Raw genomic sequence first — 13,283 nt, 5'->3', positions numbered from 1 at the left:
TTTTTTGGTCTTTCCACTGGGTCTCTGTGAATCCAAGTGATTTTACTGTATACACTTTTAGACTTGTCCATAAAATAAGTCACCTTTTTGTTTTAAAAAAGGATGTTTTTTGATAGATTTTAGTCACAGATTTACTCACCTGATTAATATTCTTTTTTGCTTAAAGAACATAAATATGCACATACACATAACAGAGTATATCAGAGTCCAATACTGTGGCTGACTGTGGCTAGGCCTTTTATAGAAACGTCCTTATATCAGGACCACCATAAAAGCCCACATAGCATCTTTGTGCACATTAGAAAAAGAGTTTATACAGCCCTCACATGAGCACGCCTGGCTTGGGGAGAAAAAGGTAGATTGGCTGTAAGCCTATTCAGCTATCAGCTGGATACATTATGCAGAGCCTAACCCCTACAAACATAGTGGAACCCTTAATTATCTGGTACTGTGCAGGTTGATGTCACACTTCTCCAGCTGAAGGGGATGAGAGCCATCTAGTCTGCTGCACTGGGCTTCTCTGACTGTAGCAAGTTCCTCACTCCAGGTAGATAGCATCCATCCAGGAAATCTGAACATGTCTTGGTGCTGCATGACTAAAACAAAGGAGAGTTGCTTCCACTCTTGGACTCCTTCCAGGGAATCTGTAGCTATTCAATCAGTAAGGCAGCTTACTGGTTAGAAAGTACATTGAATTTGGGAATGGGAGTGAAGCAAAGTCTGAATAGTCATTTCTGCCAATTTCCGAACCTAGATCTGTTATTTTTTTCCCCTTTAACTTGGACACTCATCCTCAATCTCCCTTGAACAGTTTGGTTTTATTTCAATTTACCTCACTCTAAACTCACAGTTACTCCTTAGACCAATAGCTTGTGTTGAATGGAGAATTATGCCCCAGGTTTGGCTCTGCTACTAAAGAGCAATTGGTATGTGAGGCAAATGATTTGCTGCCTCTGAACTTCACTTTTCTTATCTGAAAAATGGGGTGATATAAAGATCCAAAGAGATGAACAGCGTGAAATGCATCAAAAACCATAAAGCACAATACAAATTAAAGACACAATTGAAACCACAAAGAGTTAATTTAGCCTAAAGTTAAAGTAGAGCAATTTACTCATCCATTTTAATATCATTTCTAGACACAGTTTGGACATATGTTAAATACTGAAGAAATATATCATTTTCAACTGTCTGAATCCATATGTGGTTGATTTCAAAACTTCATTGTGTTTGAAAGAAGAATCAATACATTATAACTGCACTAACATTGCTCTGCTGAACTATCCGTGCAGGTTTCTGATGCCTTCATAGAGTACTTCAATTTTCCCATTATATTTTCATTATTATCCCACATGTTTGAAAGGATTCTTTGAGAATTGAGTCACAAATCCCAAATGAATGGTAATAACTATTTGTTTTGATTCAAGCTGCATTTGTTAGCAGGTTCTGTAGTTTTTCCTGGTTCCAGGCTGTCTCTATAAGAGAGACACCAAACAATTCTTCCTAAAACATTCATTTCATCATGTTCCTTCTTAAAGTTTCCCCACTTATCCAGCTTGTATTATTATGAGGGACAGCTAAAGCTCGTCATGGTTTGGATACAGCATTGCTTTTGGTACTTGTCTCTCTGTTTTAGAATATAGCCCCTTTCCTAGCCAGGCTGAGCACTTCACAGTTTCACATGAGAGAAGACTGTTCTCAGTGGTGTCTTCAATCATTCTGACCTTGCCCAGAATGCCTTTATCTCACCGTTGCCATAGCCAGTCTGACCCACAGCACAAGGTCCTATTCTGGACTTTTGGGGGTTTTCCAGTTCTAGTGACCTCTCTCTCTCTGATAAACCTTGACCCTTGGAACACATTGCATGGGAAACCCCTTGATTTCTAGGACCATACTGCCTTTAGGGCAGCGCTGTCAATGCCGAAGTCAAGTCCAGATGGATCCTCAGGCCATGCTGAGTCCTTCTCCTTCACCCTAGACCAATTCTTCATTTGGGTCGAGTGTAACTCCACTGTTAACAAAATAAAGCCCATCAATAAAATACAAACGTACCAACTGCTAATCATAATAGGCTCACGACCAAGAGAAAACATAGTGCAGTTGTAAGACAACAGAGGTCAATGTGACCATGAGGGACACAGGAAATACAGCCAGATGCTGAGAAGGCAATGACAGCAACACTACAGGAAGCTGTCATCATCCTGAGTCCATCATCCTGTTAAAAGAGTACATTCAAGGTATAAATTTAACGATTCTGGTATGTCTTCTTTAAGTTACTCAATATACTAATGAACTGTGTTCTAGGAGGAAATTTTATCTCCTCCTGGAACATATCATCCAGGTTGATAAGATCTCCAAACATTTTGAAGTTTTATTCCACCTGAATCTGCTTACAAACCTGACTGTATCAATGTCAATTTTGAGACAAGGTGAGTATGTAAGTCATCTTTGTTGGATATTTGGTGTGAATACCTGTCCAGCACAATTTCTCCCTCTAAAAAACTCTATACTTTCTTTGCTGAGTTGTTTCTCCTGACTCTGTGTACGTATCAATGGGGATGACTCAATCCAAGACTCTAAGGGTTGGCGTCACCCTGCTTGATCAATCAGTGTATTCCAACTCCTCTGGGCACAGTGATTGGTTGGAGGAAGGCAAGACCTCATCCACATTGGTCCCAAAAGACTCAATGTCAGAAAATGTATCTGAACATATCGGAGTGAGTTACTTGCCCGGCATCCGTTAGGGTTCTACCAGAGAAACAGAGCCAGTAAGATAGCAGATAGATACATAAATTTCAAGTAACTGGCTTACATGATTGTGTGGGCTGACTAGTCCAAAATCTGTAGGGCCCATGGCACTCTGGAAACTCTCTGGCATGAGCTGCTACTGCAGTCCAGAGATGGAATTTCTTCTTCCTCAGGTAAACCTCAGTTTTGCTTTTGACACTCTTAGAACTGATTGGATGAGGCCCACCCCATATTATTGAGGATAATCTGCCTAAAGTCAACTGATTATAGATATTAACCACATCTACACTAGAACTTGCTTTTTAGATGGCACTTGTGTGGGCATTTTCCAAACATCATTGAAGGAAATAAAATTCATAGGAGCCATTTGATTGAATCAGCCAATGTCCAGGTTTCATGTTGTGACTTCAGACCAAGTGCAGATACTCTATGGCCAGATTCTTTTAAGATCTGTAAAATATATTTCCTGAATGAGGTTCCCAAATCAGCATGTCTGCATTATTCTGGTAAGCCAATCTCTTACAAACCTGTGAAGGAAATACCTAGTCCACAATGGGAACTATTAGTTCGTCAAGTCACCTTCCTAGAATTGAGATCCAGTCATGAGACCTGGAATGGCCCTCTAGTCTCCAATGCCTGACTGCAGCTGTGCATTTGATTGACTCCACACAGGGAGAGGTAATGGGGAGAGGATGTCAGAATGCTCAGAAGGGGAGAAATGGAGCTGGGCAAGGTGGCTCACACCTGTAATCCCAGCACTTTGGGAGGCCGAGGTAGGTGGATCACTTGAGGTCAGGAGTTCGAGTTCAAGACCAGCTTAGCAACATGGTGAAACCCTGTCTCTACTGAAAATACAAAAATTAGCTGGGTCTGGTGGCAGGCGCCTGTAATCCCAGCTACTTGGGAGGCTGAGGCAGGAGAATTGCTTGAACCTGGGAGGCAGAGGTTGCAATGTGCTGAGATTGCGCCACTGCACTCCAGCCTGGGCGACAGAGTGAGATTGCATCTCAAATAAATAAATAAATAAATAAATAAATAAATAGTTTTTAAAAAATAAAGGGAGACTGAGGCAGTTCACATGGGGACGAGTCCAGGCTCCAGGGCTCTACTTGCAGGCACTGCTGTCTCTGTTTCCAGTACCAGAGTGGGATTACATCAAACTTAGAAAACTTTAAGGAAGACACTCCAAAGCACAAGGCTCTGCTTGAGACAAGGGCCCTGCTTGTCCAGGTCTAAAGCAGATACTGCTCTGATGTCTACATTTTTTTCATCTGTCAGTGCTGATGATGGTCATAGCCAGAGCACATTTCTTTTTTTACTTTAATTCTGCTATCTCTCAGAATAGTAATTTTATTTCTGTGAATTGTGTATTTTTAAAAAGCACTTCCCACCCCCATCATCACTCTCAACACATGCGTGAGCGTGCACACACACACACACACACACACACGCACATAACTAAATAGGATTCTTGTTAGAATAACTAAATTTGGAGATGAAAAGAGAGGATTAAGTATAGTGCTCATCCTATATTCTCCTCTTACAGTAATTGATATAACATCAGTGAGATTTTACTGGCAAAATTGATTCAAATCAAACCAGAAAAATTCAGCCTCAAGAACTGAAAATGAGCTAAAAGATGGTAAGCAAAGAATAATAATATGTGGCAGTGTCTTCAAATTATTCATATTTTAAGCTTTATATAATTTGAAGTTGCAAAGATGTGTTTAACAAGGGTGGATTTTTAAAAATGTGATGTCTTTGTTAATGATCAGGAAGCAGTACTGAAAACACAATAATGCTATCTCTGTGATGGTAAATTGGAAGGCATTGAAAACATTTGGGAAGAAATATAAATAATACAAATAGAGCTATACAGGTCATAAATATGGATGGAAGAGGGAACAAAGATGTTTCATAAATATACAAAACAATCGTGCATATAGGAAAATATAATTGAAAACAAAGAAATCCTCAGCTAGGTTAATGGCCCTGTGATATCCTTTTCTACTTACTGTCCCATGTGCCATTGGGGTTGGTGTTGTATGATATTCCAAGGGGATGGTCAGAAGTAGTTATATTGATGTTGGGCAATAAATAAAATTGTACTTTAAAATCTTTTTTCTATCATTATAATGTGATAATGTAGCCATATGCCAGTCTTTATGAAATAACTTTCTTTCTCCTTGGATTAATATTTTAAGACTGCCACATTGCACAACTCCTGGAGCTCCATTCATATACTCCCTTCATAGTCTATGCAAATAGTGCTCTCTGGGGATACGCAGTGAACACCCTGTGTAACTCTACACCCTGCCTTAGTTTAAAATAAAATGGGCTCTTTTATTTCAGAGTGTTCCCTGTATCCAGTGATATTTGCATGATACTATATCTAGAATGTAAACAACATCCATTGGGTTATGTCAAGCAATCATTTACCCTGAACTACATAATTATTCAAATACTTGGCATTAGGCAGGCCATAATCTGAATGATTTAGTGATTTACTGACTACTTTTCTGGGAGATTTGAACAGTGCAGATATGTCTTCTGTTACTCTGCAGGTTTTACTGGCTTGTAAATTTTTCACAAAAGTGATTTCTACCTATATATTTAATTAGGTTTCACATTGTTTCACAGGTCACATTGTACCTATTGGCTTCAAATCAATTTACAGGATAAAATGCACCCACTGATTCCAAGCTTGGAAGGAGGTGGCCTCATTATAAACTGTGTCAGGTTAGGTCTCCCAGAACTGTTGGAGTTTGGTGTAGGACTCCTCATGGCAGATTTGGGACTTCAAGCTGTGGCAAAAGCCCATTTTAAGCAAGTATAAAATTGTAATCTCCTGCTATGAGAATCCTTTTATGGATGTGTGCCTTTGCATTACTTTTAAACTATATATCTAATAATCATTCTTAAGAAACTTCTGGTTTCACATATATTGATGAAAATTATTAATTATAGATTATTTTCCTCTGCATTGTATTTCTCTTTTCTGATAGAGTTCTATGGTTAGTTAATTATGAATTAGAACATCCGTAGAACTTGGAGATCTGTTTTGGGGCATTCAGTCAATACAATTCACACTTTGTAAACAGGTTTGGCTGACAATATTGTTATGTCTAGGGAAGGTTGTGTGAACCAACAAGGACCGACCTGCATGAAGTTCAGTAAATTGATGCGAGAGCCCAGAATTACCTGTGTTGCTCTCTTATTATTCCAAGGGAAAGTCATCTGCATTGAGTCTCTGGTTCCCCAACCAGCTGTATGTAGCCCCCAGTGGAGATGGACCCATTAGGCACTCGTAAGCTATTGTCATCGAAAATAAGCCACTCATTACTCTTGGCAGTCTGAGCATATCCTGACTTCTCATGTTATTATTTGGGGAGTAAGAGTATATACTGACAGGACAATGTGAGCCTTCTGACTTGCTTAGCAGTGTTTGTTCTCATTAATTAATGATACAGAATCAGTATTCTACATCACTGGATTATGAATTTACTTAGTTGAGTCATGTCCTTAAGTTCAGTCATCTCTATGTCCCTTGAAAAAATCTGGTGTCTGGATCCAACACTGGAGGTCAGACATTTGACCACGGGGCTCTTACAATATAATTGTGCCCCACACTTCCCTCATACATCCCACCCTACAATATATGAACAGTTTCTACAAATCAATAAAATAAACACATCCAACACAGTAGTAATACGGATAAAAGCCTTAAACTGACATTACACACACACACACACACACACACACACACACAGACCAAATGGCCCAATAAACACGTGAGAAGGTGCACAGCCTTCTTATTCATCACATAAATGCAAATTAACATCATAATTATTTGATACTATGCATAAATCACAACGACTATAGATTCAAAAACTTAGACATATCAAGGGCTGCAGAAGATATGAAGCAACTAAAACATTCAATGCTGGTGGGAATATAAATGTATAAACTGCTATAGAAAAATTTTTGATAGCATTTATTAAAGCTTAACATAAGTTTACCTTATAATCCAGCAATTCTGTTCCTAGATATGTACCCAACAGGAATGTGTACATTTGGGCCTGTTGTGGGGTGGGGGGAGGGGGAGGCATAGCATTAGGAGATATACCTAATGTTAAATGATGAGATAATGGGTGCAGCACACCAACATGGCACATGTATACATATGTAACTAACCTGCACTTTGTGCACATGTACCCTAAAACTGAAAGTATAATAAAACATAAATAAATACAAAAAAATAAAAAAATAAAAAAATAAAAAATTAGCCAAGTATGGCGGTGAATGCCTGTAATCACAGCTACTCAGGAGACTGAGGTTGGACGATCACTTGAGCCCAGGAGGTTGAGGCTACAGTGAGCCATGATCATACCACTGCACTCCAGCCTGAGCAACATAGTGAGACCCTGTCTCAAAAATAATAAAAATAAGGCCAGGCGCGGTGGCTCACGCCTGTAATCCCAGCACTTTGGGAGGCTGAGGAGGGCGGATCACGAGGTCAGGAGATGGAGACAATCCTGGCTAACACAGTGAAACCCCGTCTCTACTAAAAATACAAAAACAAAATTAGCCGGGCATGGTGGTGGGCGCCTGTAGTCCCAGCTACTCGGGAGGCTAAGGCAGGAGAATGGCGTGAACCCAGGAGGCGGAGCTTGCAGTGAGCCAAGATGGCACCACTGCACTCCAGCCTGGGCGGCAGAGCGAGACTCGGTCTCAAAAAAAAATAAATAAAAAAAAAATAAAAAGGCATTCTCATAAAAAATAAAAATAAAAGGAATATTAAACTAATTAGGCTATTGATATGTTAAATTACATGGAAAGCATTGTCAAATAAAAATGATATTTAAAAAAAAAGTGTACATTTGGGCACTAGTAGACATGTGTCAGAGTATAGCGGCACTATTCCTAATAGTTAAATACAGAAAATGACCCACATTTTCCTCAACAGTAGAATGGATAAATTGTGGCAGGTTCATAAAATTGATAAGTAGTCCATGAGAATAAACAACCATGTTATGCAACATAGATGAATTTCAAATATATGATGTTGACAGTAGGAAGGCTTTCATTTCTGTAGATGTCAAAATGGGCAAAATCAACTGAGGGTGATATAATTTAAGATAATGAGGAGCTTCGGAGAGGGCAGTGACTGGAAGGAAGCACATGGTTGGCTTCTAGGTTGCTGACAATATTATTTATATATATATATATATACGTATATATATATATACACACATGTATATATGTGTGTGTGTGTGTGTGTGTGTGTGTGTGTGTGTGTATATATATATATTTTATTTTTTTTTGAGATGGAGTCTCACTCTGTTGCCCAGGCTGGAGTGCAGTGGCACAATCCTGGCTCACTGCAACCTCTGCCTCCTGGGTTCAAGTGATTCTTCTGCCTCAGCCTCCCAAGTAGCTGTATTACAGGCGTGCACCACCACACCAAGCTAATTTTGTATTTTTAGTAGAGATGGGGTTTCACCATGTTAGCCAGGCTGATCTCGAATTTCCGACCTCAGGTGATCCATCTGCCTCAGCCTCCCAAAGAGCTGGAATTACAGGCATGAGCAACCAGGCCGGGCCCAATATTGTACTTTTTGATGTGGGTGGTGGTTCATGAGTGAGTTCACTTCTTGAAATTCTATGATCTGTACATTTGTGATTGGTGAGCTCTTCATGTATCTTCTTTTTCAATAAAAGTTTATACATGTATGTATATATAATATACATATATAGATGACAGAGAGAGCAAGAGCTGTATTAAGAGACTTAGCTGTATTGAACCAGGTCTTAGAAATATAGTGAGTATAAAAGAAGGATGATTTTTCAATACCATCTGCCATTCCTCCAGAATATGCAATCCATCATGTCTGAAAGAGCTCATAATTAAAGTAATTCCAGGATTACATAGAGATTGTTGTGAAGTCTGGAGTCACAGTCAGTGCAGTAAGACCTTTTTTATTAAACAGCTATAAAAATATTTTGGGATAAGATGTTAAATAACTTCATAGATATAAACATGTTGAATCAAAGTTTGCTGAAAAAAGCCTAATTTTAATAATAAACACTATCCTACCTCAAATAAATCGAAAATGTAGTTGGAATATATTGTCTTTTTCCTCCACAACCAAGAAAAAAAGTCTTTTCTTCCAGTAGTAAGAATAATAGGGCACACAGAAACCAACAGAGAGAACACTGAATATCCAGGTGGGCTTTGGGGTAGATTCACAGGCGAAGCAGGGCACAATTATATATTGTGAGGTCCTCATGGTCAATGGTCTCATCTCTATATTTTGATCCAGACACCAGATTTTTTCAAGAAAGGATAAGCCAATCTATGTGATCCATATAGATGAAAATAAATCACAGAAAGCTAAGGAAGATAATCTAGTAATGTATAAAAAGTTAATGTATGATGACAAAGTTGTCTGTATTCCAGGCATGCAAGGTTGTTTCAATATTTGAAAGTCTCCAAGCTTCATCCCATTATCAGGAAATGGGGAAACTCATGATTATCTCAATAGATTCTGAAAAGCTCTTGTTAAAATTTAACATGTATTCATAATTAATAATAAAAAAAACTCTTAGCAACTGAGAATAAAGGAAAAAAAAATTTGGTGTGATGGAGCAGAGTCTACAAAAAAGCCTGGAGTAAAAAAACGAAATGCTTTTTTCTAAGATTGGGAATAAAACAAGGAGGCCAGTATCTCCATTTTTATTCAATATTGTGCTGGAGGTATTACCCAGTGCAATGGGGCATGAAAACCTGAAAGATATAATATTTGGAAGAAAAATTAATAAAAATAACCATTAATCTGCAATATAAAAGAGCACATATGGAAATCTAAAATAATCTAATCACACGATTAAAATTACGAGTTGAATTTGACAAGCTCACTTTTTGTAATTACTATATAAAATCAATTCTTTCTATAAATCAAAACAAATAGAAAAAATTCAAGTGTCACTATTTCCAAAGCAAATTCTTTAAATAAGACACAAAAAGCAGTGACCCATAAAATATTTGACTACTATAAAATCAAGAACATCTGTTCATTAAAACATGCAATCCGTGGATTAAGAAAAGATATTTGAATTCATATATTCAATATTTCTTTCTAGCAATGTCAAGTTTTGTGATCAAGATTATGATGATTCTCTAACATTAGATTAGAAATTTTTAATTCTATTTACCTTTTCAGTAAGAGTTTGCACCATATTGTTGAGGTTTCTGCCTTAAATATTCAGAGAACTTGAAGTATGAAGTCACAAGGATCTGGCGAATACTTTGTGGAAGAGTTTTAAATTATAGATTCTATCTCTTTAATGTATGTAAGACTATTCATATAGTCCTTTTCTTCTTGAATTAGCTGTGATGAGCTGTTTTTCCAAAAGTTTGCTATCTGAAGTTTGGCATTTATAAGCAAAAGTTGTCTATCAAATACTTGTAAGGACCGAGGGGAAAACTTCCCCCTTGCCCTCTGAAGGTTTGTTGAAAACTCAACTCACAAAAAACAGATTAATTGGAGAAAAGCCATACACATTTATTAATGTATACACAGGAGAATCACAGTGATTACTCAACTACTCAAGCCCACACTGGAGTGCAGAAGCTTACATACATCCTGAGGTTACAGAAATAATGGGGGCTCAGAGCATGGCCCAAAACAGGTTATGATGGTAAATCAGGTTATGGCGACAAGATTGATTATGGGAGGAAGAGAAGAAGAAGCCTGTCTAGCAAAGGTGGTCTCCTTATATAAATGAAACTTCACAGATAGCAGCCCTCAGCAAGAATGGATGGTAAACATTAAAAAAAAAAAAAACCTTTAAAGATAGACTCTGAGTTAATCTTTTCTAGGTGGGGACAAGGGAAAGCCTGGCTGTATCAGTGCATATTCTCTGCAGGTGCAAATCTCCCCCTCGAAAGACAGTTTTGCCAGCCTACTTCTGTTTTCTGGCTCTCCTAACAGGCATCTCAAAATATGTCAAAGAAATATATTTTGGGGTAAAATACTTTGATTTCTTTATACTCACATTATCTTTTTAAAGGTGTAATATACACAGTATAGTAGGCCAGATTTTAAGTCTGCATCTCAATGACTTGGAATAAATGTATATGTCTGTGTACCCATTATCCCATTTAAAAGAAAAAATAACCCATCATTCCAATACCTTTCCTTACACTTTTTTTTCTCAGTAATACCTCACTCCTTCCTACAGGCAGATATCCTTCTGAGTTCATAGTTTTGCTTGTTCAGAGGTTTCTTTAATATAACCTAATATTTTTGATATTCATTTATGTAGTGTATACATTGTTTGTATTTTTTATTATTGAGTAGTATTCCATTATCTGAGTATAGAATAATTTGTTTATTCACCTATTGATTTAACTTAGTATAATATATTTATTTGACATCTATTGGTATGTTATTTTACATTTCCTTAAGGACAAATGACATTGAACATCTTTTAAATATATTTCTTGGCCATCTATACATTGTATTTTGTATATAAGTTTATGTCTTTTGCCCATTTTTATTTGTCTTTTTTATTACTGAGTTGTAGATCTATCATGGTTCTTTTTCACTATTGTTTGGCTCTTCTAGATCCTTTACATATTTACATAAATTTTAGAATTAGCCTGCAAATTTCCACACACTGACATACAGACTCCTGCAGAGACTTTGATTGGAATGGCACAAAATCTATGGCTAAAACTGAGGAGTATTCACATCTTAACAATATCAAGTCTTCCAAACCATGAACGTGTTAAAAGTTTTTCCATGTATGTATGTATTCTTTAATTTGAAGGAGAAGTAGTAACATCCTATCCCTGTTTTTGTTTCTGATACTGGCCTTTGGGTGTGTTAATTTACTGTTATACAGTATTTTACCATTTCATTAATTTCTTTTCCCATATTTGTTATTTCCTTCTTTCTACTTTCTTTGAACATTATTCACTATTATAAGATGGACTGTTAGAGCACTGATGCCTCTCTTTTCTGCTTTTCTAATAGATGTATTTATAACCATAAGGTTCCTTTTAGGCAAACATTTAGTTGCATCCCTCTATTCCAAGCCCTCTTCCTCTAAGAAGTCTTTTCACACCACAGTTGCTTTGTCCCCACACCTCCTGGACAATGCACAGAAACGGATGGTCTTCAATGTGTAGGTCAAATGCAGGCTCAAATGCAGTTTTTCCCAGCTCAGAGTTTTGATGTGTTCTGCTATTTGAGTTAGTTTTAAATATTTTCTAATTTTCATTTTGATTCCTTCTTTGATCTAGACATTGTTTTGAACTGTATTGCTTAATTTCCAACATTTGGAGGCTTCTACTTACCATTTCATTATTGATTTCTAGCTTAATTACATAGTGTGAGAGAACATATTCTGACTGATTCAATCCTTTGATATTTGTTGAAACTATGTTGTGTCCCAGGACAACACTAATTTTGGCAAATGTTTAATTGTACTAAGTAGACTATATATTTTCTTGTAGTGGGTGCAATGTTTTCTCTCTCTTTCTTGCAAATTATGTATATTGATTAGGTTTCATTTGGAATTCAAGTTGTTCAGATCATTTAGAATTTACTGGTGTTTTGTCTGCTTGTTCTATAAGCTTCTAAAATAAGTGGGTTAGAATTCTCCACTACGATTGTGGATTTTTCTACTCCATCTCTTAGTTTTGTAAGTTTTGTGTTTACATTTGAAGCTAAGTATATAATATTTAGAATTCCAATATTTTCTTGGTGAGTGAATTATTTTATTACTATAAAATAGCCTTTTCATAAATCTCTGACAGTGCTTCTTACCTTAACGTCTATTGTGACAGATATGAATCTAGATAAATCAGCTTTCTTTTTGTTTATGCCTACTTCGATTCTTTTATTTTTAGCTTGTATATATTTACATATAAGCTGTATCTTTTGTAAACAACGTTTAATATGGTTTGTTTTATTAATCCATTCTGGCAACATTTATCTTTCATTGAGCATTGAAACTATTACTTTTAATGTGTTAATGAATACATATCTTCCAATTATTATCATTTAGTTGCTATTTTTACTACCCATCTCCTATTTTCCTATTTATTTATTTATTTCCTCACTTCTTCTTTTGTAACACACACACACACTTCTACAATTTTCCCATGATCTCACTAGTTGTACGTTCTTTTATTATTATACTAAGGTTGTCCCTTTGGAAAATAACCTGTATTTTTGACTCTTTATGATGTATTGTGATGATAATTTTGCTACTTCCTAGATCAACTGAAACAAACTTTTCTTTTTCTCATGAAATACTCAAAATGATTGTGGAGAATGAACGTGAATGGACATGCTCAAATCATAGATTGGCAAAAGTTCTCATTCAAGTTCTTTTCTGAAAGCATATTTGACGACTTATTCTGTATTATACACAGTGCTGGTGGTATAAAATGAATTAACTATCTTATATTTATTTGGTCCTTGCATGTTCTAGGCATTATCTCTGGTGCTGAAGATACAAAG

This window comes from Homo sapiens, chromosome 2 (genome assembly GCF_000001405.40).
Source record: "Homo sapiens chromosome 2, GRCh38.p14 Primary Assembly".
Lineage (NCBI taxonomy): Eukaryota > Metazoa > Chordata > Mammalia > Primates > Hominidae > Homo > Homo sapiens.
Note: the sequence above shows the minus strand (reverse complement) of the source record.